The sequence below is a fragment of the Homo sapiens genome, chromosome 6 (genome assembly GCF_000001405.40).
Source record: "Homo sapiens chromosome 6, GRCh38.p14 Primary Assembly".
NCBI lineage: Eukaryota > Metazoa > Chordata > Mammalia > Primates > Hominidae > Homo > Homo sapiens.
The window spans coordinates 33,515,704-33,537,638 of record NC_000006.12 but is presented as its reverse complement, the minus strand read 5'-3'; the positions used below and the strand labels follow the sequence as shown (position 1 = coordinate 33,537,638).

Below are 21,935 nucleotides of genomic sequence, written 5' to 3'. Positions count from 1 at the left end.
GAGTAGCTGGGATTACAGGTGCCCACCACCACACCTGGCTAATTTTTGTATTTTTAGTAGAGACAGGGTTTCACCATATTGGCCAGGCTGGTCTCTTGGCCAGGCTGGTCTCGAACTCCTGACCTCGTGATCCGCCCGCCTCGGCCTCCCAAAGTCCTGTGATTACAGGCGTGAGCCACTGCACCTGGCCTGTGTATTTTTCTTTCTTTCTTTCTTTTTAAATCAAGGTGACTTTGCAGATCTAAGCAGACTTTTTTTTTCTTGCACACCTAATATGTGCCAGATACTGTTCTAAGATGCTTGGGATCATCAGTGAACAAAAAACAAAAACAAAAACAAAAATCCCTCCCCTCATGAGTTTAAATTCTAGAGGGCGGGTACTGTTGGATTTCACTGTGTGGTATCAATATACTAGCATCTGCTTAGCCATACTCTTATTCCAGTTTCAGTGAGTTCTGCCAGTTTGGATTGTGGCATAGACATTTTAACTTAGCTATATTTACAAGATAGCTTAAATAGTGTGGCTTTTTTAATTAAATAAATTTTCTGACTGGGCAAGGTGGCTCATGCCTGTAATCCCAGCACATGGGGAGGAGAGGCAGGAGGATCACTTGAGCCCAGGAGTGTTGGTACATATCTGTAGTCCCAGCTACTCAGGAGGCCGAGGCGAAGGCATTGCCTGAGCCCAGAACATTGAGGCTGCACTGAGCTATAATCACACCACTGCACTCCAGCCTGGGCAACCTCGCAAGATCCTGTCTCAAAAATAAAATAACAATACATAAATTTTTTTTTTTTTTGAGACAGAGTTTTGCTCTTGTTGCCCAGGCTGGAGTGCAATGGCGAGATCTCTGCTCACTGCAACCTCTGCCTCCCGAGTTCAAGCAATTCTTCTGCCTCAGTCTCCCAAGTAGCTGGGGTTACAGGCGCCCACCACCACACCTAGCTAATGTCTGTATTTTTAGTAGAAACGGTGTTTCACCATGTTGGCCAGGCTGGTCTCAAACTCCTGACCTCAGGCAATATGCCTGCCTCGGCCTCCCAAAGTGCTGGGATTACAGGCGTGAGCCGCTGCACCCGGCCAAAATTTTCTACTTATGTATGAAGAGCATGGAGAGTAGAGTAAGAAGACAAGAAGAAAAGGACACGTACACAACAGGACGCTACAGTTTTCTTAAATATTAAGTATGTTGGTTGCAGTGGCTTATGCTGTAATCCCAACACTTTGGGAAGCGGAGGCAGGCAGATCACTTGAGGCCAGAAGTTCAAGGCAAACCTTGGCAACATAGCAAGACTTCATCTCTACAAAATATTTTACAAACTAGCCAGGCATAGTGGCACGCCTGTAGTCCCAGCTACTCAGGAGGCTAAGGCTGAAGGACGGCTTGAGCCCAGGAGTTGGAGGTTAAGGTGAGCTAGGATTGAGCCACTGCACTCCAGCCTGGGCAACAGAATGGCACCTTGTCTCTGAAAAATAAATAAATAAATCTCATTTATCTTTTTCACTCAGTACTGTATTTAAAAAAAAATTTTTTTTTAATTTTATTTTAGAGATAGAAGTCTACCTCTGTTGCTCAAGCTGGTCTTGAACTCCTGGCCCCAAGTGATCCTCCTGCCTCAGCCTCCCAACTTGCTGGATTACAGGCATGAGCTGCTGCACCTGCCCAGGTACTGCATCTTAAAGAACCATCCCACAGAATTTGAGGGAAAGTGGTTTAAAAAAAAAAAATCCTTGTTGCTCTGTGTTCATCCTTCCCATGTTTCTAACTGCTGTAAAGTGTTTCACAGCAAATATCCTCCTTCATCCTCCTTCCTTTACCCATCTTCTTTCCAGGACAAGAGACAGGGTGCCAAGATCGTTCCAACTCCCTGTCCCACAGCTACAACTTATTCAAAAAAGTTCCCAGCCTGTAATCCCAGCACTTTGGGAGGCTGAGCCGAGGGGATCATTTGAGCCCGGGAGGTTGAGACCAGCCCAGGCAACATAGTAAGACCTCATCTCTACAAAAAATAAATAATAAAAAAATTAGCTGGGTGTAGTGGTGTACACCTGTAGTCCCAGCTACTTGGGAGGCTAAAGAGGAGGGATCACTTCAGCCCAGGGAGATTGAGGCTGCAGTGAGCAGTGATTGAGCCACTGCAATCCAGCTTTGGCAACAGCGAGATCCTGCCTCAAAAAAAAAAAAAAAACCCTACAAAACCCAACATGTGCCCTTAGGCCCTGTCCCTGGGTGCAGCCTTGCTGGGTCACAGGGCTTGTGGGCCTGTGGGTACTTATTTTACTTTAGTTATTGAGTCAGCTCTCCCTTCCCACTGGAGCACGGAAGGGCCCTGCATTCCCCTATTCTCCCCAGTGTATGGCACCATCCCACTTTCTAACTCGCCAGTCTCATAGATATAAAGTGGATCTCATTTTAATTTTGCATGTCTCTAATCATTTTGAGTATCTAATGATTTTGAGTATTTCTATATGATGATTAACTTTTTTGGTTTCCTTGACTGTAGATTGCCTGTTCATATCCTTTGCCAATTTTCCCATTGGAGTTGTTCTTGTCTGGTTAATTGGTGAGAGCTTCCAGATATTAACCTCTTGTCAGTTTTTTAATTGAGATATAATTCATATACCAAAACATTCACCCTTTCTAAAAATTTGTTTTATTTTTTTTAGAGGCAGTCTCACCATGTTGCCTAGGCTGGTTTCAAACTCCTGGGCTCAAGCGATCCTCCTGCCTCAGCCTCCGGAAGTGCTGGGATTACAGGTGTGAGCCACTGGGCCTGGCCTTCACCCTTTTAAAATATACAATTCAGTAGGGTTTTAAAGTTTATTTACAGAGTTGTGCAACCATCATCATAATCTTAGAACATTTTCATCATCTCCAAAAGAAGTCATGTACCCACTAGCAGCCGCTCCCTCTCCTCCCCTTTTCTTTTTTGAGACGGAGTTTTGTGCCTGTTGCCCAGGCTGGAGTGCAATGGCAAGATCTCTCTGCTCACTGCAACCTCTGCCTCCCAGGTTCAAGCGATTCTCCTGCCTCAGGAGAGAAACTCTGGAAACCACTAATTTACTGTCTCTACCATTTTGCCTATTCTAGACATTTTATATAAATGGACTCATACAGTATATGGCCTTTTGGGTCTTGCTCTCTCACCCAGGCTGGAGTGCAGTGGCACGATCATGGCTCACTGCAGCTTTGAACTCCTGGGTTCAAGCAATCCTCCTGCCTCAATCTTCCAAGTGGCTGGGTTACAGGTGTGCATCACCATGCCTAGCTGTTCCTTATTAGTTTTAAACATTTCATTTCCCCCCCCAGCATCAAGTATCTTGTCCACAATATCTACATTGAACAGAAATCCTTAATATTGATAAAATAAAATTCAGTTATGTTTCTTTTTCTTGGGATCTGTACTTTTGCATTTCTGGTTAAGAACTTCTTTACTCTTAGGCCGGGCGCGGTGGCTCACGCCTGTCATTCCAGCACCTTGGTAGGCCGAGGCGGGCCAATCACCAGGTCAGGAGATCAAGACTATTCTGGCTAACAGGATGAAACCCCATCTCTACTAAAAAAACACAAAAAATTAGCCGGGCGCAGTGGTGGGTGCCTGTAGTCCCAGCTACTAGGGAGGCTGAGGCAGGAGAATGGTGTGAACCCAGGAGGCAGAGCTTTCAGTGACCCGAGATCACGCCACCGCACTCCAGCCTGGGCAACAGAGCAAGACTATCTCAAAAAACAAAGAAACAAACAAAAAAAAACTTCTTTACTCTTAGGTGACAAAAATAGAGACTTACTGTTTTGCCCAGACTGGAGTTCAGTGGCACGATCATGGCTCACTGTAGCTTCAACCTCCTGGGCTCAAACAGTCCCCCACCTCATTCTCCTTCATAGGTGGGACTACAGGCACATGCCACTGTGTCCGGAGTTGGTGGGTTCTTGGTCTGACTGACTTGAAGAACGAAGCCGCGGACCCTCATGGTGAGTGTTACAGCTCTTAAGGTGGCACGTCTGGAGTCTGTTCCTTCTGATGTTCAGATGTGGTCGGAGTTTCTTTCTTCTGGTGGGTTTGTGGTCTCGCTGGCTCAGGAGTGAAGCTGTAGACTTTCGTGGTGAGTGTTACAGCTCTTAAGGCAGCGCGTCTGGAGTTGTTTTTCCTCCCGCTGACCTCGTGGTCTCGCCGGGCTCAGGAGTGAACCTACAGAGTGAACCTACAGATCTTCGCAGACAATGTTACAGCTCATGAAAGCAACGTGGACCCAAAGAGTGAACAGTAGCAAGATTTATTGCAAAGAACAAAAGAACAAAGAAACCTTCCACAGTGTTGAAGAAAACCCGAGTAGGTTGTCACTGCTGGCTCTGGCAGCCTGCTTTTATCCTCTTATCTGGCCCCACCCACATCCTGCTGATTGGTAGAGCCGAGCGGCCTGTTTTGTCAGGGCGCTGATTGGTGCGTTTACAATCCCTGAGCTAGATACAAAGGTTCTCCACATCCCCATCAGATTAGTTAGATACAGAGTTTTGACACACGGGTTCTCCAAGGCCCCACCAGAGCAGCTAGATACAGAGTGTCGATTGGTGCACTCACAAACCTTGAGCTAAACACAGGGTGCTGATTGGTGTATTTACAATCCCTGAGCTAGATATAAAGGTTCTCCAAGACCCCACCAGATGCAGCTAGATACAGTGTGGATTGGTGCATTCACAAACCTTGAGCTAAACACAGGATGGTGATTGGTGTATTTACAATCCCTGAGCTAGACATAAAGACTCTCCACGTCCCCACCAGACTCAGGAGCCCAGCTGGCTTCACCCAGTGGATCCCGCACTGGGGCTGCAGGTGGAGCTGCCTGCCAGTCCTGCGCCGTGCGCTCGCACTCCTCAGCCCTTGGGTGGTCAATGGGACTGGCCGCCCTGGAGCAGGGGGTGGTGCTCGTCCGGGAGGCTCGGGCGGCACAGGAGCCCATGGAGTGGGTGGGAGGCTCAGGCATGGCGGGCTGCAGGTCCTGAGCCCTGCCCCGCGGGAAGGCAGCTAAGGCCCAGCGAGAAATCGAGCACAGCGCCGGTGGGCCGGCACTGCTGGGGGACCCAGTACACCCTCCGCAGCCACTGGCCCGGGTGCTAAGTCCCTCATTGCCCGGGGCCAGCAGGGCTGGCTGGCTGCTCCGAGTGCGGGGCCCACCAAGCCCACGCCCACCTGGAACTTCAGCTGGCCCGGCAGCGCCGCAGGAAGCCCTGGTTCATGCTCGCGCCTCTCCCTCCATACCTCCCTGCAAGCTGAGGGAGTGGGCTCCAGCCTTGGCCAGCCCAGAAAGGGGCTCCCACAGTGCAGTGGGGGGCTGAAGGGCTCCTCAAATGCCGCCAAAGTGGGAGCCCAGGCAGGGGAGGTGCCGAGAGTAAGCGAGGGCTCTGAGGACTGCCAGCACGCTGTCACCTCTCACCACCATGCCTGGCTAATTTTTTTTTTTTTTTTTTTGAGACCAAGTCTCGCTCTGTCACCCAGGCTGGAATGCAGTGGCGCAATCTCGGCTCACTGCAACCTCTGCCCCCAGGGTTCTAGCAATTCTCCTACCTCAGCCTCCTGAGTAGCTGGGATTACAGGCGCCTGCCACCATGCCCGGCTAATTTTTTTTGTATTTGTAGTAGAGACGGGGTTTCGCCATGTTGGCCAGGCTGGGCTTGAACTCTTGACCTCAGGTGATCCACCTGTCTTGGCCTCCCAAAATGCTGGGATTACAGGCACAAACCACTGTGCCTGGCCTTTTTTTTTTTTTTTTTTAATTTTGTTATTGTCTGTCAACTTATACCTAACCAGCCAAGTTTTGCATTTTTTATAGAGATGGGGTTTTGCCATGTTGCTCAGACTGGTCTCAAACTCCTGAGCTCAAGTGATCCACCTGCCTTAGCCTCCCAAAGTGTTGGGATTACAGGCGTGAGCCACACAACCCAAAATATTATTTTTTATTTTCTCTTACATTTAAGTTTTTTTTTTTTTTTCTTGAGACGGATTCTTGCTCTGTCACCCAGGCTGGAGTGCAGTGGTGCGATCTCAGCTCACTGCAACCTCTGCCTCCTGGGTTCAAGCGATTCTCCTGCTTCAGCCTCCTGAGTAGCTGGGACTACAAGCGCGTGCCACCATCCAGCTAATTTTTTGTATTTTCAGTAGAGACGGGGTTTCACCGTTTTAGCCAGGATGGTCTTGATCTCCTGACGTCGTGATCCCAGCCTCCCAAAGTGCTGGGATTACAGGCGTGAGCCACCGCGCCCGGCCCTTAAGTTTTTAATCCATCTGGTTTCCTCTTGTACATGGTGTTGGGTAGGATCCAGTTTTATGTGCCTCTGGATAGTGAGCTAATCTTCCAGCGCTATATCCGAACAGTCCGTTCCTGTCTCAGTGATCTGTGCTGCCACTGTTATTCTGTATTAAGCTCCCACATATGTGTCTCTAGCTTCTCTTTTCTTTTATTCTTTTTCTAGATGAAGTCTTACTCTGTTGCCCAGGCTGGAGTGCAGTGGCGCAATCTTGGCTCACTGCAACCTCCACCTCCTGGGTTCAAGTGATTCTCCTGCCTCAGCCTCCCAAGTAGCTGGGACTACATGCATGCACTATCAGGCCTGGCTAATTTTTTGTATTTAGTAGAAACAGGGTTTCACCATGTTGGTCAGGCTGGTCTCCAACTCCTGACCTCAGGTGATCCACCCCCCTCAGCCTCCCAAAGTGCTGGGATTACAGGGGTGAGCCACCATGCCCAGCCAATATTTTTTAGTTTTGCTAGTGTGAATAGAATATTTTTTTGGGGGGGTTATATTTCTAGTTGATTTTTTGCTGATGTGGAAATAAATGTTATTGCTTGATTTTTTTATCCAGCTACTTTGCTAAATTCTCTTATTAGCAATAATAATTTATCTCTAATCATTTTTTTATTGTTGTTGATTCTGGTTTATTTTCTTTCTTTATTTTTCTTTATTTTTTTGAGATGGAGTCTCACCCTGTCACTCAGGCTGGAGTGCAGTGGTGCAATCTCAGCTCACTGCAGCCTCAGCCTCCCAGGTTCAAGTGATCCTTCCACCTCAGCCTCCCAAGTAGCTGGGATTGCAGGTGCCTGCCATCATGCCTGGCTAATTTTTGTATTTTTAGTAGAGATGGGGTTTCACCATGTTGGCCAGGCTGATCTTGAACTCCTGGCCTCAAGTGATCCACCCACCTTGGCCTCCCAGAGTGCTGGAATCAAAGGTGTGAGCCACTGCACCTAGCCTATTTTCTTTCTTTCTTTCTTTCTTTTTTTTTTGGTTGAGATGGAGTTTCACTCTGCTGCCCAGGCTGGAGCACTGTGATGTGATCTCAGCTCACTGCAATCTTCACCTCCCAAGTAGCTGGGACTACAGGCAGGCACCACCACACCTGGCTAATTTTTGGATTTTTAATAGAGATGGGGTTTCATGGTGTTGCCCAGGCTGGTCTCGAACTGCTGATTTCAAGTGATCTGCCCGCCTCAGCCTCCCAAAGTGCTGGAATTACAGGCATGAACCACCACGCCTGGCCCAATTCTGGTTGATTTTCTGTATAATTAGATATCTGCAAATAATGAATTTGCCTCTTTTTTTTTTTTTTTTTTTTTGAAATGGAGTCTCGCTCTGTCACCAGGCTGGAGTGCAGTGGCGCGACCTTGACTCGCTGCAACCTCTGCCTCCTGGATTCAAGTGATTCTCCTGTCTCAGCCTCCCGAGTAGCTGGGATTACAGGCATGTGCCACCACGCCCTGCTAATTTTTGTATTTTTAGTAGAGACAGGGTTACACCATGTTGGCCAGAATGGTCTTGATCTCTTGACCTCGTGATCTGCCCGCCTCGGCCTCCCAAAGTGCTGGGATTATAGGCATGAGCCACCGCACCTGGCCTTGCCTCTTGGTTTTGTTTGTTTGAGACAGAGTCTCACTCTGTTGCCCAGGCAGGAGTACAGTGGCATAATCATGAGTCACTGCAGCCTTGGCCTCCTAGGCTCAACTGATTCTCTCATCTCAGCCTTCCAAGTAGCTGGGACCACAGGCACACACCACCGTGCCCAGCTAAGTTTTGTAATTTTTGTAGCGATGGGGTCTCACCCTGTTGCCCAGGCTGATCTTGAACTCCTGGGCTTAAGTGATCCTCCCACTTCTGCCTCCCAAAGTGCTGGGATTATAGGCATGAGCCACCGTGCCTAGTCTCAAATTCTTTATACAACAAATCTTTGGAAGCATTTCTGAAAAGAGCAGAACATTGTTTATTGAGTATGTCTGAGATTTGACCTATTCCAGATTATTTCCAGGGTTTAGATATCTTAACTCCCAAAACAACACGGTGATTAAATATATATATATATGTTTTGGCATAAAAGGGAATGGTTTGTAATATGGGACATAAGGTATTATAAGAAATAAACACATTTTAAAACATAGTGCCTCCAGAAAGTATATCAGAGTGTGACTCATTAGGACATCTTAAATGGCTGATATTCTGTATAGATGGAAAACATGTCCATGTTTACCTAAAATTAGAAAAGAATAATACGTTACATAAAACAGGAAATACTTAATGTAAAAACAGAATATATCGTATTTACCAATTCTCATACTAGAAAACACGTAGAGCAATAGTAAAGTGGTATCTGAACTCCCCTTTCCTAGGATTCTTGTTGATCTGAAACACGAGCGTGAAGAAAGGTCAGATTTGGCACCAGCTGCAGGCTGAGAAGCGCGCAGAGCTACAGCCAGCCTGCAGGGTGGTCTGCTCTTGCTTCGGGCTTTCTCTGAGTCTGTACATCTGGAGTGGCCTTCTTCGTAGTAAGTGTACACAGTAGAGGTTGTTCTCTTGTGTTAAAGAAGTCTGGAGGCTCATTTCCAGGCAGTGTGGTGGCTCCCTGAGGCTATCAGTGCCCCAGGCTCCTTCTGTTTTTTTTCCACTGCCATCCTCAGCCTGTGGCTTCTTTAAGGTCACACCACATGTGGAAGATGGCCCCTTTAGCTCCAGCCATCACATCCACATTCCAGTCAGGAAGAAAGAGGAAGCCAAGTCAGCTCCCCTTAAAGCATCACTCTCCAACTTTAGCTCAACATGTGTAACTCAACAGGGGGTCTTGTTATAATATAGATTCAGATTCAGTAGGTCTGGGCTGGGGCCCAAGATTCTGCATTTCTAACAAAGTACCACACTTGGAGTAACAAGGCTTTAAAGAACTTTCTGGAAGCTCTGCTCAGTGACTTCTGCTCTCATTTCACTGGCTAAAACTGCATCATATAACCAGATTCATTGGTACCCACAGAAAATTGGAAAACTGCTTGGTGTGGGGACCACTCCACTTCCCAAATCTGGTGTCAGAAATGATACCACCACAAAGAAGATGAGGAAAAAATAATTTAAAGAAAAAAAAAGTGACATGGTTTGGAAGTATTGTGTGTCACGAGTGAGAGTATAGAAGAAAACTGAAAACTCGGCTGGGCACGGTGGCTCACCCCTGTAATCCCAGCACTTTGGGAGGCCAAGGCAGGCAGATCACAAGGTCAGGAGTTTGAGACCAGCCTGGCCAAGATAGTGAAACCCCATCTCTACTAAAAATACAAAAATTAGTCGGGCATGGTGGTGTGTGCCTGTAGTCCCAGCTACTTGGGAGGCTGAAGCAGGAGAATTGCTTGAACCCGGGAGACGAAGGTTGTGGTGAGCCAAGATTGCGCCACTGCACTCCAGCCTGGGCAACAGAGCGAGACTCCATCTCAAAAAAGAAAACTGAAAACTCTTTTTCCCTCGCAGTGGCCTGTGAGAGGGGCTAGGGTAATGTTCTGAAGGGCTAAGAAAGACTCGTCCCCTGGCTTGGTCTTGCATGTATTCTTCATATTCAGCTTGTGGTGGTTTTTAACTCCACATATAAACCTCCAAGATCCTGTAGCTCTACAACTATATCGATATGAAAAGCTTTGGCTGGCACGGTGGCTCATGCCTGTAATCCCAGCACTTCGGGAGGCTGAGGCGGCAGATCATGAGGTCAGGAGTTTGAGATCAACCTGACCAACATGGTGAAACCCCGTCTCTACTAAAAATACAAAAACTAGCTGGGTGTGGTGGCAGGCACCTGTAATCCCAGCTACTCAGGAGGCCGAGGCAAGAGAATCGCTTGAACCCAGGAGATGGAGGTTTCAGTGAGCCGAGATTGCGCCACTGCACTCCGGCCTGGGTGACAGACAGAGATTCCGTCTTAAAAAAAGATAGAAAGAAAGAAATCTTTAAAAAAATCTTCAGGAGGCCGGGCACGGTGGCTCACGCCTGTAATCTCAGCACACTTTGGGAGGCTGAGGCAGGTGGATCACCTGAGGTCGAGAGTTTGAGACCAGCCTGACTAACATGGAGAAACCCCCTCTTTACTAAAAATACAAAATTAGCCGGGCATGGTGGCACGTGCCTGTAATCCCAGCTACTCGGGAGGCTGAGGCAGGAGGATCACTTGAACCCAGAGGCAGAGGTTGCAGTGAGCCGAGATTGTGCCATTGCACTCCAGTCTGGACAACAGCGAAACTCCATCTCCAAAAAAAAAAAAAAATCTTCAGGATCCTAATCCAACAGTAAAAAGATTGAGACATTCGTGATCATCAAGGGCAACAGATGAAACAAGAATGACAGGAGGTTTATGACTGTGCAGTTTGCTCTCTTTTATGAATCTGAATATTTTTCAAGAAAAAAAATTCAAAGATATCCAGAATATATAAAGAATTCCTACAATCCAACAACAACAAAAAGCAACCTGGTTAAAATACTAACTGCACAACAGTTAGGATGGCTATTTTTTTTTTTTTTGAGACTGCATCTCGCTCTGTTGCCCAGGCTGTAGTGCATGGTGCAATGATAGCTCACTGCAGCCTTGCGCTCCTGGGCTCAAGTGATTCTCCTGGCTCAGCCTCCCAAGTAACTGGGACTACAGGTGCGCCACCACACCTGGCTAATTATTTTTTTATTTTTTGTGGAGACGGTGTTTCACCATGTTGCCCAGGCTGGTCTTGAACTCCTGGGCTTAAGCAATCCTCCCACCTCGGCCTCCCGAAGTGTTGGGATTACAGGTGTGAGCCACCACTTCCAGCCCAGGATGGCTATTATAAAACAAAGAGAATCCCAGAAAATAACAGGTGGTGAGGATATAGATTGGAACTCTTGTGCATTGCTGGTCATTCGCAGAGGAACTGTAAAATGACACAGCCTCTGAGAATATAGGTACAGAAACCAAACCAAACTGTTTTTGCTATTCTCTCATGACGATCAACACAGAAGACTTCTGTGGCCTCTGGTCACTAAGAAGTGCATGCAGAGTTCTCCCTACTAGTAACCAATCAATCAATTCTATAGCAAACACCAGCTGGGTGTCCTCCAAATCAATTCCAACACTGTCTTTGTGGAGATAGCAACAGATCCCACAGGTTGAGGGCTCAGTCCCACAAGACCGCCCCCCGCTTCTTTTTTTTTTTTTTTTTTAATTTATTTTTTTATTGATAATTCTTGGGTGTTTCTCACAGAGGGGGATTTGGCAGGGTCATGGGACAATAGTGGAGGGAAGGTCAGCAGATAAACAAGTGAACAAAGGTCTCTGGTTTTCCTAGGCAGAGGACCCTTTGGCCTTCCGCAGTGTTTGTGTCCCTGATTACTTGAGATTAGGGATTCGTGATGACTCTTAACGAGCATGCTGCCTTCAAGCATCTGTTTAACAAAGCACATCTTGCACCGCCCTTAATCCATTTAACCCTGAGTGGACACAGCACATGTTTCAGAGAGCACAGGGTTGGGGGTAAGGTCACAGATCAACAGGATCCCAAGGCAGAGGAATTTTTCTTAGTGCAGAACAAAATGAAAAGTCTCCCATGTCTACTTCTTTCTACACAGACACGGCAACCATCCGATTTCTCAATCTTTTCCCCACCTTTCCCGCCTTTCTATTCCACAAAGTCGCCATTGTCATCCTGGCCCGTTCTCAATGAGCTGTTGGGCACACCTCCCAGACGGGGTGGTGGCCGGGCAGAGGGGCTCCTCACTTCCCAGTAGGGGCGGCCGGGCAGAGGCGCCCCTCACCTCCCGGACGGGGCGGCTGGCCGGGCGGGGGGGCTGACCCCCCCCCACCTCCCTCCCGGACGGGGCAGCTGGCCGGGCGGGGGGCTGACCCCCCCACCTCCCTCCCGGACGGGGCGGCTGGCCGGGCAGAGGGGCTCCTCACTTCCCAGTAGGGGCGGCCGGGCAGAGGCGCCCCTCACCTCCCGGACGCGCCCCCCGCTTCTGATGCCAATTGTAAGCTCCAGGTTGTCTAGCCTGTGCTTCCAACCAAGGGGCTATAAATCAGAGTTCCCATGACCCTCTCCTTGCATTCTATTAATCTGCTGGAGTGGCTCACAGAACTCAGGGAAACACGTGCTTATGTTTACCAGTTTATTATGTTGACCTAAGGAAAGAAACTGAGGCAAAATAGATATAGAGAGTTTATTTGGGCCAAGGTTGAGGACTGCAGCCTGGGAAACACTGGGAAGTGGCCCAGAGAACAAAGGAGAGGGTGTTTGTTTGTTTGTTTGTTTGTTTGTTGAGACAGTCTCGCTCTGTTGCCCAGGCTGGAGTGCAGTGGCGCGATCTCGGTTCACTGCAACCCCTGCCTCCCGGGTTCAAGCGATTCTCCTGCCTCAGCCTCCTGAGTACCTGGGATTACAGGTGCCCACCATCACGCCTGGATAATTTTTGTATTTTTAGTAGAGACAGGGTTTCCCTATGTTGGCCAGGCTAGTCTCGAACTCCTGACTTCATGATCCACCTGCGTCAGCCTCCCAAAGTGTTGGGATTACAGGTGTGAGCCACCGCGCCCAGCCTGATAATTTTTTAAATTAATTTTTTGTTTTGTTTTGAGACAGGGTCTCACTCTGTCATCCAGGCTGGAATGCAGTGGTGTGATCATTGCTCACTGCAGCCTCTACTTCCCAGGCTCAAGTGATTCTCCCACCTCAGCCTCCTGAGTAACTGGGACTACAGGTGTGCATCACCCTGCCTGACTAATTTTTTTCTATTTTTTGTAGAGATGGGGTCTCCCTATGTTGCCCAGGCTTGTCTCGAACTCCTGGGCTTAAGCGATCCATCCACCTGGGCCTGCCAAAGTGCTAGGATTAAAGGCATGAGCTACTGTGCTGGGGCTGGGACTGATCATTTAAAGGGGGCTGGCATTCCTCACATAAGTTTCTTTCTCACTTACAAAGGATATTACTAAGGATACTGATGAACACCAGATGAAGAGATGAATAGGGTAATCTATGAGGGAAGGAGTGTGGAGCTTCCATGCCCTCTCCAGGTGCCCCACCCCTCCAGGAACCTCCAGGTGTTCAGCATGGAGGCTTCATTACTTAGGCATGATTGGTTAAATCGTTGGCCCTTGGTGATCAACTCAACCTTCAGCCCTCTCCCCTCCCTGGAAGTTTGGGGTCGTGCTAAAAGTCTCAAACTTCTAACCATGCCTTGGTCTTTCCGGTGACCAATCCCCATCCTGAAGCTACCTAGGGGCTACCAGCTACCAGCCAACTTATTAGCATACAAAAAGACACTTGTATTTTGAAGATTTCAAGGTTTCTAGGAGTTATATGTAAGGAGACCAAGTATATATTTCACAATATCACAAGCCACTGCGTAAAACAGTATGGCGGTTCCTCAAAAAATCGAACATAGAATTACAACATGATCCAGCAATTCCACTTCTGGGTATGTACCCAGAAGAATTGAAAAGAATTCAAAAGAATTGAGGCCGGGCATGGTGGCTCACGCCTGTAATCCCAGCACTTTGGGAGGCTGAGGCAGGCGGATCACCTGAGGTTAGGAGTTCGAGACCAGCCTGGCCAACATGGTGAAACCCCGTCTCTACTAAAAATACAAAAAATTAGCCGCGCGTGGTGGCAGGCGCCTGTCATCCCAGCTACTCAGGAGACTGAGGAATCACTTGAACCCGGGAGGCGGAGGTTGCAGTGAGCTGAGATTGTGCCACTGCACTCCAGTCTGGGCAAAAGGAGAGAAACTCCGTCTCAAAAAAAAAAAAAAATGAAAGCAGGGACTCAGATATTGGTACACTCAAGTTTATAGCAGCATTATTCACAACAGTCAAAAGAGGGAAGCAACCCAAGCATCCACCGATGGATGAATGGATAAACAAAATGTGGCATATGCATGCGATGGAATATTACTCAGCCTTAAAAAGGAAGGCGGTTCTGGCACATGCTACAACATGGATGAACCTTGAAGACACTATGCTAAGTGATATAAGCCCGTGACAAAATTATTGTATGATTCCACTTATATGAGGTACTTAGAGTAGTCACATTCATAGACACACAAAGTACAAGGGTGGTCGCCAGGGGCTGGAGAGAAGGGAATGAAGAGTATTCAGTTTAGCCTAAAGCTGCCTCCTTACAGTATAAGCTTGGCATAAAGGTTTCTCTGGCTGCGCATGGTGGCTCATGCCTGTAATCCCAGCACTTTGGGAGGCCGAAGTGGGCGCATCACCTGAGGTTGGGAGTTTGAGACCAGCCTAACCAACATGGAGAAACCCCATCTCTATTAAAAGTACAAAATTAGCTATGCGCGGTGGCACATGCCTGTAATCCCAGCTACTCAGGAGGCTGAGGCAGGAGAATCGCTTGAAGCGGGGATGCGGAGGTTGCAGTGAGCCGAGATTGCACCATTGCACTCCAGCCTGGGTAAGAAGAGCGAAACTCCGTCTAAAAAATAAAGAAATAAAAATTTAAAAAAAAAGGTTTCTCTGTACATAGTGAACTGTAACCTAACTGGATGTGTAAACAGCCTGTACCAATCATGGAGTTTTGTACCAATCATGGAGTTTTAGCCAATAGGAAGCAGCCAGCTGTTCAAATGGTTCAAACAAGGCCAATGCCAAGCTGTAGCCAATCCAGCTGTTTCTATGCCTCACTTGCACTTTCTGCACGCTACTTGCTTTTTTCTGTTCACGCACCGTAGTCCTTTCTGGCCGCTGAGGCAGCACGGAGTCCTCTGAAATCTGGTGGTTCTGGGGGCTGCCGTGATGCAGGAATCATCCTTTGTTCAGTTAGACTCTGCTAAATTTAATTTGTCTTAAGTTTTTCTTTGAACAGGAGTTACTGTTTAATGGGTACAGAGTTGCAGTTTGGGAAGGAAAAAAAACATCTGAAAACGTATGGTAGTGACCATCGTGCAACCAGGTCAGTGTACTTAATGCCACAAAATGTGCACTTAGTGGCATTTGCGGAGCCTGTTTGCTTCTCTCAGCAGCCCCGACTGTCCTCTTCCCGCTGGAGGGATGTCTCCCTAGGCTTGGTTGCTGGCCTCTTGTTCTGCAGCTCTTCCTGCTCATTGGACACTCAACACTAACTCGAAGCCCGCCCTTTTACTCTGGGGAAGGTGGTTGTGCTCCTCAGGGATTATTTCTCTGGCAGCTGCAGAAATCATGTGTCTCAGGATTGGGTGATTTTTGAGGTGTGTGAGGATGTACTCGTGTACTTCACTCATGGGGAATGGCACCATCTCACCCCTCCGAGAGGAATCTCCACAGCATGTGATGATAAAGAATTTCAGGAAGGTGGTATTGAGAGGTGACAGCGTGCTGGCGGCCCTCGCTCGCGCTCAGCACCTCCTCGGCCTCAGCATCTGCTCTGGCCACGCTTGAGGAGCCCTTCAGCCCGCCACTGCACTGTGGGAGCCCTTCTCTGGGCGGGCCGAGGCCAGAGCCGGCTCCCTCTGCTTGCGAGAAGGTGTGGAGGGAGAGGCGCAGGCGGGAACCAGGGCTGCGCGCCAGCTCGAGTTCCGGGTGGGCGCGGGCTCGGCAGACCCCACACTCGGAGCAGCCGGCTGGCCCCGGGCAGCGAGGGGTTTAGCACCCGGGCCAGCAGCTGTGGAGGGGGCGCCGGGTCCCCCAGCACTGCCGGGCCGCCCGCGCCGCGCTCAAATTCTGGCTGGGCCTCAGCCGTCTCCCCGCAGGGCAGGGCTCCGGACCTGCAGCCCTCCATGCCCGAGCCCCTCCCACGCGATGGGCTCCCGTGAGGCCAGAGCCTCCCCGACGGGCGCCGCCCCTTGCTCTGCGGCCCTCAGTCCCATTGACTGCCCAAGAATTGAGAAGTGTAGGCACCAGGCGTGGGACTGGGAAGCAACTCCGCTGTGGCGTGGGATCCACTAGGCAAAGCCAGCTGGGCTCCTGAGTCGGGTGGGGACTTGGAGAATTTTTACGTCTAGCTGGAGGATTGTATATGCACCAATCAGCACTCTGTGTCTAGCTAATCTAGTGGGGACTTGGGGAACTTTTATGTCTAACTAAAGGATTGTAAATGCACCAATCAGCACTCTGTGTCTAGCTCAAGGTTTGTAAACACACCAATCAGCACTCTGTGTCTAGCTCAAGGTTTGTAAACGCACCAATCAGTGCTCTGTGTCTAGCTAATCTAGTGGGGACTTGGACAGTTTTTGTGTCTAGCTAAAGGATTATAAATACACCAATCAGGACTCTGTGTCTAGCTCAGGGATTGTAAACGCACCAATCAGCACCCTGTCAAAACAGACCAATCAGTTCTCTGTAAAATGGGCCAATCAGCAGGATGTGTGTGTGTGGGCGGGGGGGGGGGGGGGGGGTGGTGGTGGTGTCGGATAAGGGAATAAAAGCAGGCTGCAATCTGCTCAGGTCTTTTCAACATTGTGGTAGCTTTGTTGTTTTGTTGCTTGGAATAAATTTTACTGTTGGTCACTTTTTGGGTCCAGAGTGCCTTTATGAGCTATAACACACATTGAGAAGATTTGCAGCTGTAGTCCTGAGGCCAGTGAGACCATGAACCCACTGGGAGAAATGAACAACTCCAGCTGTGCTACATTAAGAGCTGAAGGTCTGCAGCTTCACTCCTGAACCTAGCAAGACCATGAAGCCACCAGAAGGAAGAAACTGTGAAGACATCCGCACATCAAAAGGAACAAACTCCGCACACACCATCCTTAAGAATTGTAACACTCAACCGTGAGGGTCTGTGGCTTCATTCTCTAAGTCAGTGAGACCATAGAACCCACCAATTTTGGACACAGTATGATCTGACTGCCTTGGGAATTCTCTGACTGTAAATTCATGTATTGCTAACTAAATCACTGCTGCTGCCAGGTGTGGTGGCTCATGCCTGTAATCCTATCACTTTGGCAGGCTGAGGTGGGCAGGTCACCTGAGGTCAGGAGTTCGAGACCAGCCTGGCAAACATGGTGAAACTCCATCTCTACTAAAAATACAAAATTTAGCCAGGCATGATGGGGCGTACCTGTAATCCCAGCTACTGGGAGGCTGAGGCAGGAGAATTGCTTGAACCCAGAAGGCTAGAGGTTGCAGTGAGCCGAGATCGTGCCACGGTATTCCAACCTGGGCAACACGGTGAGACTCTGTCTCAGAAATCATTGGTGCTGCCCATTGTTGGTAGTGGTCTGGTCTAAAGGTTCCAGTTTTGTTGATTTTAGTTTCTAAATCCGTGCAAGCTGCGTGGTCCCTCTCCATGAAAAGTGGAGTATTCCTGCTTCCCGCTAATGCTGGGTTCTGCTATTTCCCTTGCCGGAAATTGGACGCTTTCTTACTTTCTTGTGCTGAGTCTTGACTGTCACCTCCCGGCACCCCAGTGATTTTCACTGGTATTGAAGCCCTGCCCTGTGGAGTTTTACTTCCTGGCCTATTACAGAGTAGCTGTGTCTGTGCTTTGCCACCAAGTTCTTTCTTTTTTTTTTTTTTTTTTTTGAGATGGAGTTTTGCTCTCATTCCCCAGGCTGGAGCGCAATGGCGCAATCTCAGCTCACTGCAACCTCCGTCTCCCAGGTTCAAGCAATTCTCCTGCCTCAGCCTCCCAAGTAGCTGGGATTACAGTCATGCGCCACCACGCCTGGCGAATTTTGTATTTTTAGTAGAGATGGGGTTTCTCCATGTTGGCCAGGCTGGTCCCTAACTCCCAGCCTCAGGTGTTCCACCCGCCTCAGCCTCCCAAAATGCTGGGATTACAGGCGTGAACCACCGCACCCGGCCTGCCACCAAGTTCTTTAGTGGTCTGCCTGGCCATGTCTGTTTCCCAGAGACAGAATGGCTCAGACTGCGTTGGGTTCATTATCTTCCCTTTCCTCTTTTCAGCGTTATGAACAGAACTTTATTTTTTCCAACCTAAACCAATCATCCTGCATTGGGATGGATGGATTGAGGGAAAGATCATGGTACCAGATCTGCAGGCAGCTGGGGACAGAAGTCTTCACTTGCATGGGTGAGTGAGACGCTGTAGCATCTCTCTTTGTTGCAGCTCCTTCCCTGCACCATTAAAAATGCTGAAGAGCTCAGGGAAAAAGGCTGTCGAGTCCTTGTTTTCTCTCTTGGTCTCTAAGCTGCCATGCAGAAACCCAGTTGCAACCCTAAAGAAGGCACGCTCCTTTCCTCTGGGTTAGCCAGTGGCCTGACGTGGTGGCCTCTGCTTGGTCCACTGCCTGTGGTGAAGACACAAGGCCTTCCACACTCATGGCCCTTCCCCTTTTCCTCTTTTTGGTTTTCTTGCCTCTTTCCATTTAGGTGTTGACTTCGTCTCACACACGAGATGACAGCCTCACTTACTCCCCAATGCCTCCTAGCCTCTCTGTTCCCCCTCTCATTCTCCTTCATACATTACCAGTATTCTCAGCCGCCCTTGTCTGCTGGCCCTTGGAGGGTTTCATTTCTGACACCAATCCCTACTCTTTTTTTTTTTTTTTTTTTTTTTAGAGTGTTTTCGCTCTTGTTGTCCAGGCTAGAGTGCAATGGCACAGTCTCGGCTCACTGCCACTTCGGCTCACCATCTCAGCTCACTGCCGACTCCTGGGTTCAAGTGATTCTCCTGCCTCAGCCTCCCGAGTAGCTGGGATTACAGGCGCCCACCACCACGCCTGGCTAATTTTTTTGTATTTTTAATACAGACGGGGTTTCACCATGTTGGCCAGGTTGGTTTCAAACTCCTGACCTCAAGTGATCTGCCCACCTTGGCCTCCCAAAGAAGTGCTGGGATTACAGGCGCGCGCCATCGTGCCCAGCTGTTTTTTGTTTTTGTGTGTTTTTTTTTTTTTTTTTTTGAGACGGAGTTTTGCTCTGGTCACCCAGGTTGGAGTGCAATGGCGTGATCTCGGCTCACTGCAACCTCTGCCTCCTGGGTTCAAGCGATTCTCCTGCCTCAGCCTCCCAAGTAGCTGAAATTACAGGCGCCTGCCACCATGCCCAGATAATTTTTATATTTTTAGTAGAGATGGGGTTTCATCACATTGACGAGGCTGGTCTCAAACTCCTGACCTCAGGTGATCCGCCTGCCTCGGCCTCCCAAAGTGCTGGGCCAATCCCTACTCTATTAAGGGTTGTGAAGATAAGTGCCATACCATAACTGTCCTCTTTTTGCTGTACTTGATTATTCTGTTCTTTGAAAAAAAATTTTTTTAAATTTATTTTGAGATAGGGTTTCACTCTGTTGCCCAGGCAACACTGCTCACTGCAACCTCAACTTCCCAGGCTCAGGTGATTCTCCCACCTCAGCCTCCCAGGTAGCTGGCACTACAGACATGTGCCACCATGCACAGCTGATTTTTTTTTTTTAATTTTTTGTAGAGATGGGGTTTCACCATGTTAGCCAGGCTGGTCTCGAACTCCTGGGCTCAAGTGATCTGCTCACCTCAGCCTCCCAAGTGCTGAGATTACAGGCTTGAGCCACTTCGTCCAGCCGGAGTACTCTGTTCTTCTCAAGTTGATTTTTGTGCAGAATGGGGATCAGGTCATGTTGTGTTTTTCCTTGCCAGGTGGTGAGAGCAGAACTGAGAAGGTGGGGTCAACTTTAAAGATGGGCATTTCCAAGGACACGGAGTATTGAGCATTGAGTCCACTGGGAGGACACCAAACGCCAGGCTCCAGAGATCCAAATTTGTAGAATCGCATGAATCCCAAGAAATCACAAGAGATCTTAGAAGAAAAGGATCCTTCAAGTGTGGTGAGTGCAGTAAGGGATCTAGTAGGAAGTCACATCTTGCTGTTTGCAGAGTAAAGACGTGTGAAGAAGCCCTGAAGAACAGCCACAAGTTCTCCCACAGCCGTGCACTGCTCCAGGGAAAACCCACACCTGCAGTGAGCGCAGGAACATCACTGTGTGACGACGTGGCCGTCCGCTGCAGAGAAGGCCCAGGAGTGTGTGGAAAGCCTCCACAGATGTAGCCCACATGGAAGAGCCTAGCAGATGATGAGGCCCTTTCCTCCCACCACAGAGCACGTGTGAGAATGGAGCGCAGGCACCTTCTCTCAGAAGGCCATTGTTGTTGATCAGGCGGTCCACTCTGGAGACTTTGGAAGCTGTCTAGGATGTAAAGAATGCAGGAATGATTTCAGAGAGGGATCACACCTCACTGCACGCCAGAGAGTTCAGGCTCCAATGAGCCATATATGTGCAGGAGGTGTGGAAGAGCTTTTGTGTGTGTTATACTGCAGAACTGGAGGGACGCCATCAGTGTACCTGAGTGGCAAAGCCTTTAGGGAGAGCTCCCAAGTCCTGGCTCATCAGTGCATTCACACAAGGGGAAAAGCCTTTTACAGGTGGGGAGGCCTTCAGGGATCAGCCTCACGTCATTGTCAGAGTTTTCATTTTGGGAAGAAGCCTTTACATTTTTATTTTTTGAGACAGTGTAACTCTGTCGACCAGGCTGGAGTGCAGTTGTGCAATCACAGCTCACTGCAGTCTTGACTTCCTGGGCTCAAGTCATCCTCCCACCTCAGCCTACTGAGTAGCTGGGACTACAGGTACACACCACCATGCCCAGCTAAGGAAGGAGCCTTAAGAATGCCAGAGGTCAACCAGGCACAGTGGCACACGCCTGCAATCCCAGCACTTTGAGAGGCCAAGGCGGACGGATCACCTGAGGTCAGGAGTTTGAGACTAGCCTGACCAACATGGAGAAACCTCGTCTCTACCAAAAAGACGAAATTAGCCAGGCGTGGTGGCGCATTCCTGTAATCCCAGCTACTTGGGAGGCTGAGGCAGGAGAATCACTTGACCCCGGAAGGCAGAGGTTGCGGTGAGCCGAGATCGTGCCATTGCACTCCAGTCTGGGTGACAGAGCAAGACTCTGTCTCCAAAAAAAAAAAAAAAAAAAAAAAAAAGGCCAGGTGCCGCGGCTCACGCCTGTAATCCCAACACTTTGGGAGGCCGAGGTGGGTGGATCACTTGAGGTCAGGAGTTCAAGACCAGCCTGGCTAACATGGTGAAACCCCGTCTCTACTAAAATACAAAAAAATTAGCTGGGCTTGGTGTCACACGCCTGTAATCCCAGCTACTCAGGAGGCTGAGGCAGGAGAATTGCTTGAACCTGGGAGGTGGAGGTTGCAGTGAACTGTCATCATGCCACTGCACTCCAGCCTGGGTGACAGAGCGAGACTGCGTCTCAAAAAATAAATAAATAAATAAGAAAGAAAGAATGCCAGAGGTGTGGACAAGTGTTCAGACATAACTAGAATCTCATGGCCCATCAGAGTCCACATAAGAGAGAAGCCTGGGAATGCCATCAGTGTGGCTGGACAAGGAATACCAGCCTTATAAATCATCAGACTCCACTCTGGGGAGAGACATTGACTGGGAGGGAGGAGGGAAGAAAGGCTGTGGATAATCATGGGGACCTTCATTAACATAGTAGAATTCACACAGTTTCAAATCCCATGAGTGTAATGAGTGGGAAAGCAGAAAAAAGATCACACCTTACTCTACCCTAGAATTCATGTAGGAGAGAGATGGTACAAACAAACCACAGAGAGAAAAGCCTTCACTTGTAGCTAATTCATTCCAGAGAAGGGCTTGGCAAGCTGTTTTTGTAAAGGACCAGAGAGTAAATCTGTTTAGGCTTTGGGGGCCGTGTGGTCTCTGCTGTAACTGCTTA

General features: G+C 48.9%; 1 long non-coding RNA gene across 1 annotated transcript, besides 1 other annotated feature; it reads left to right on the top strand.

Annotated features, from left to right (window-relative positions):
- Positions 1-1,651: 1,651 nt before the first annotated feature.
- LOC107986537 (uncharacterized) lies at positions 1,652-20,711 on the top strand. Its single transcript, XR_001743876.1, has 3 exons — positions 1,652-1,668; positions 18,148-18,274; positions 19,818-20,711. It is a non-coding gene; the product is annotated as an uncharacterized LOC107986537 (long non-coding RNA).
- Positions 5,120-5,724: an enhancer, noted in NCBI's record as "H3K27ac-H3K4me1 hESC enhancer chr6:33499692-33500296 (GRCh37/hg19 assembly coordinates)". NCBI's record gives its function as "activates a minimal SCP1, AML or CMV promoter by ChIP-STARR-seq in naive H9 embryonic stem cells {active_cell/tissue: H9 hESC(naive)}" and the evidence as "EXISTENCE:reporter gene assay evidence [ECO:0000049][PMID:30033119]".
- Positions 20,712-21,935: the final 1,224 nt, after the last annotated feature.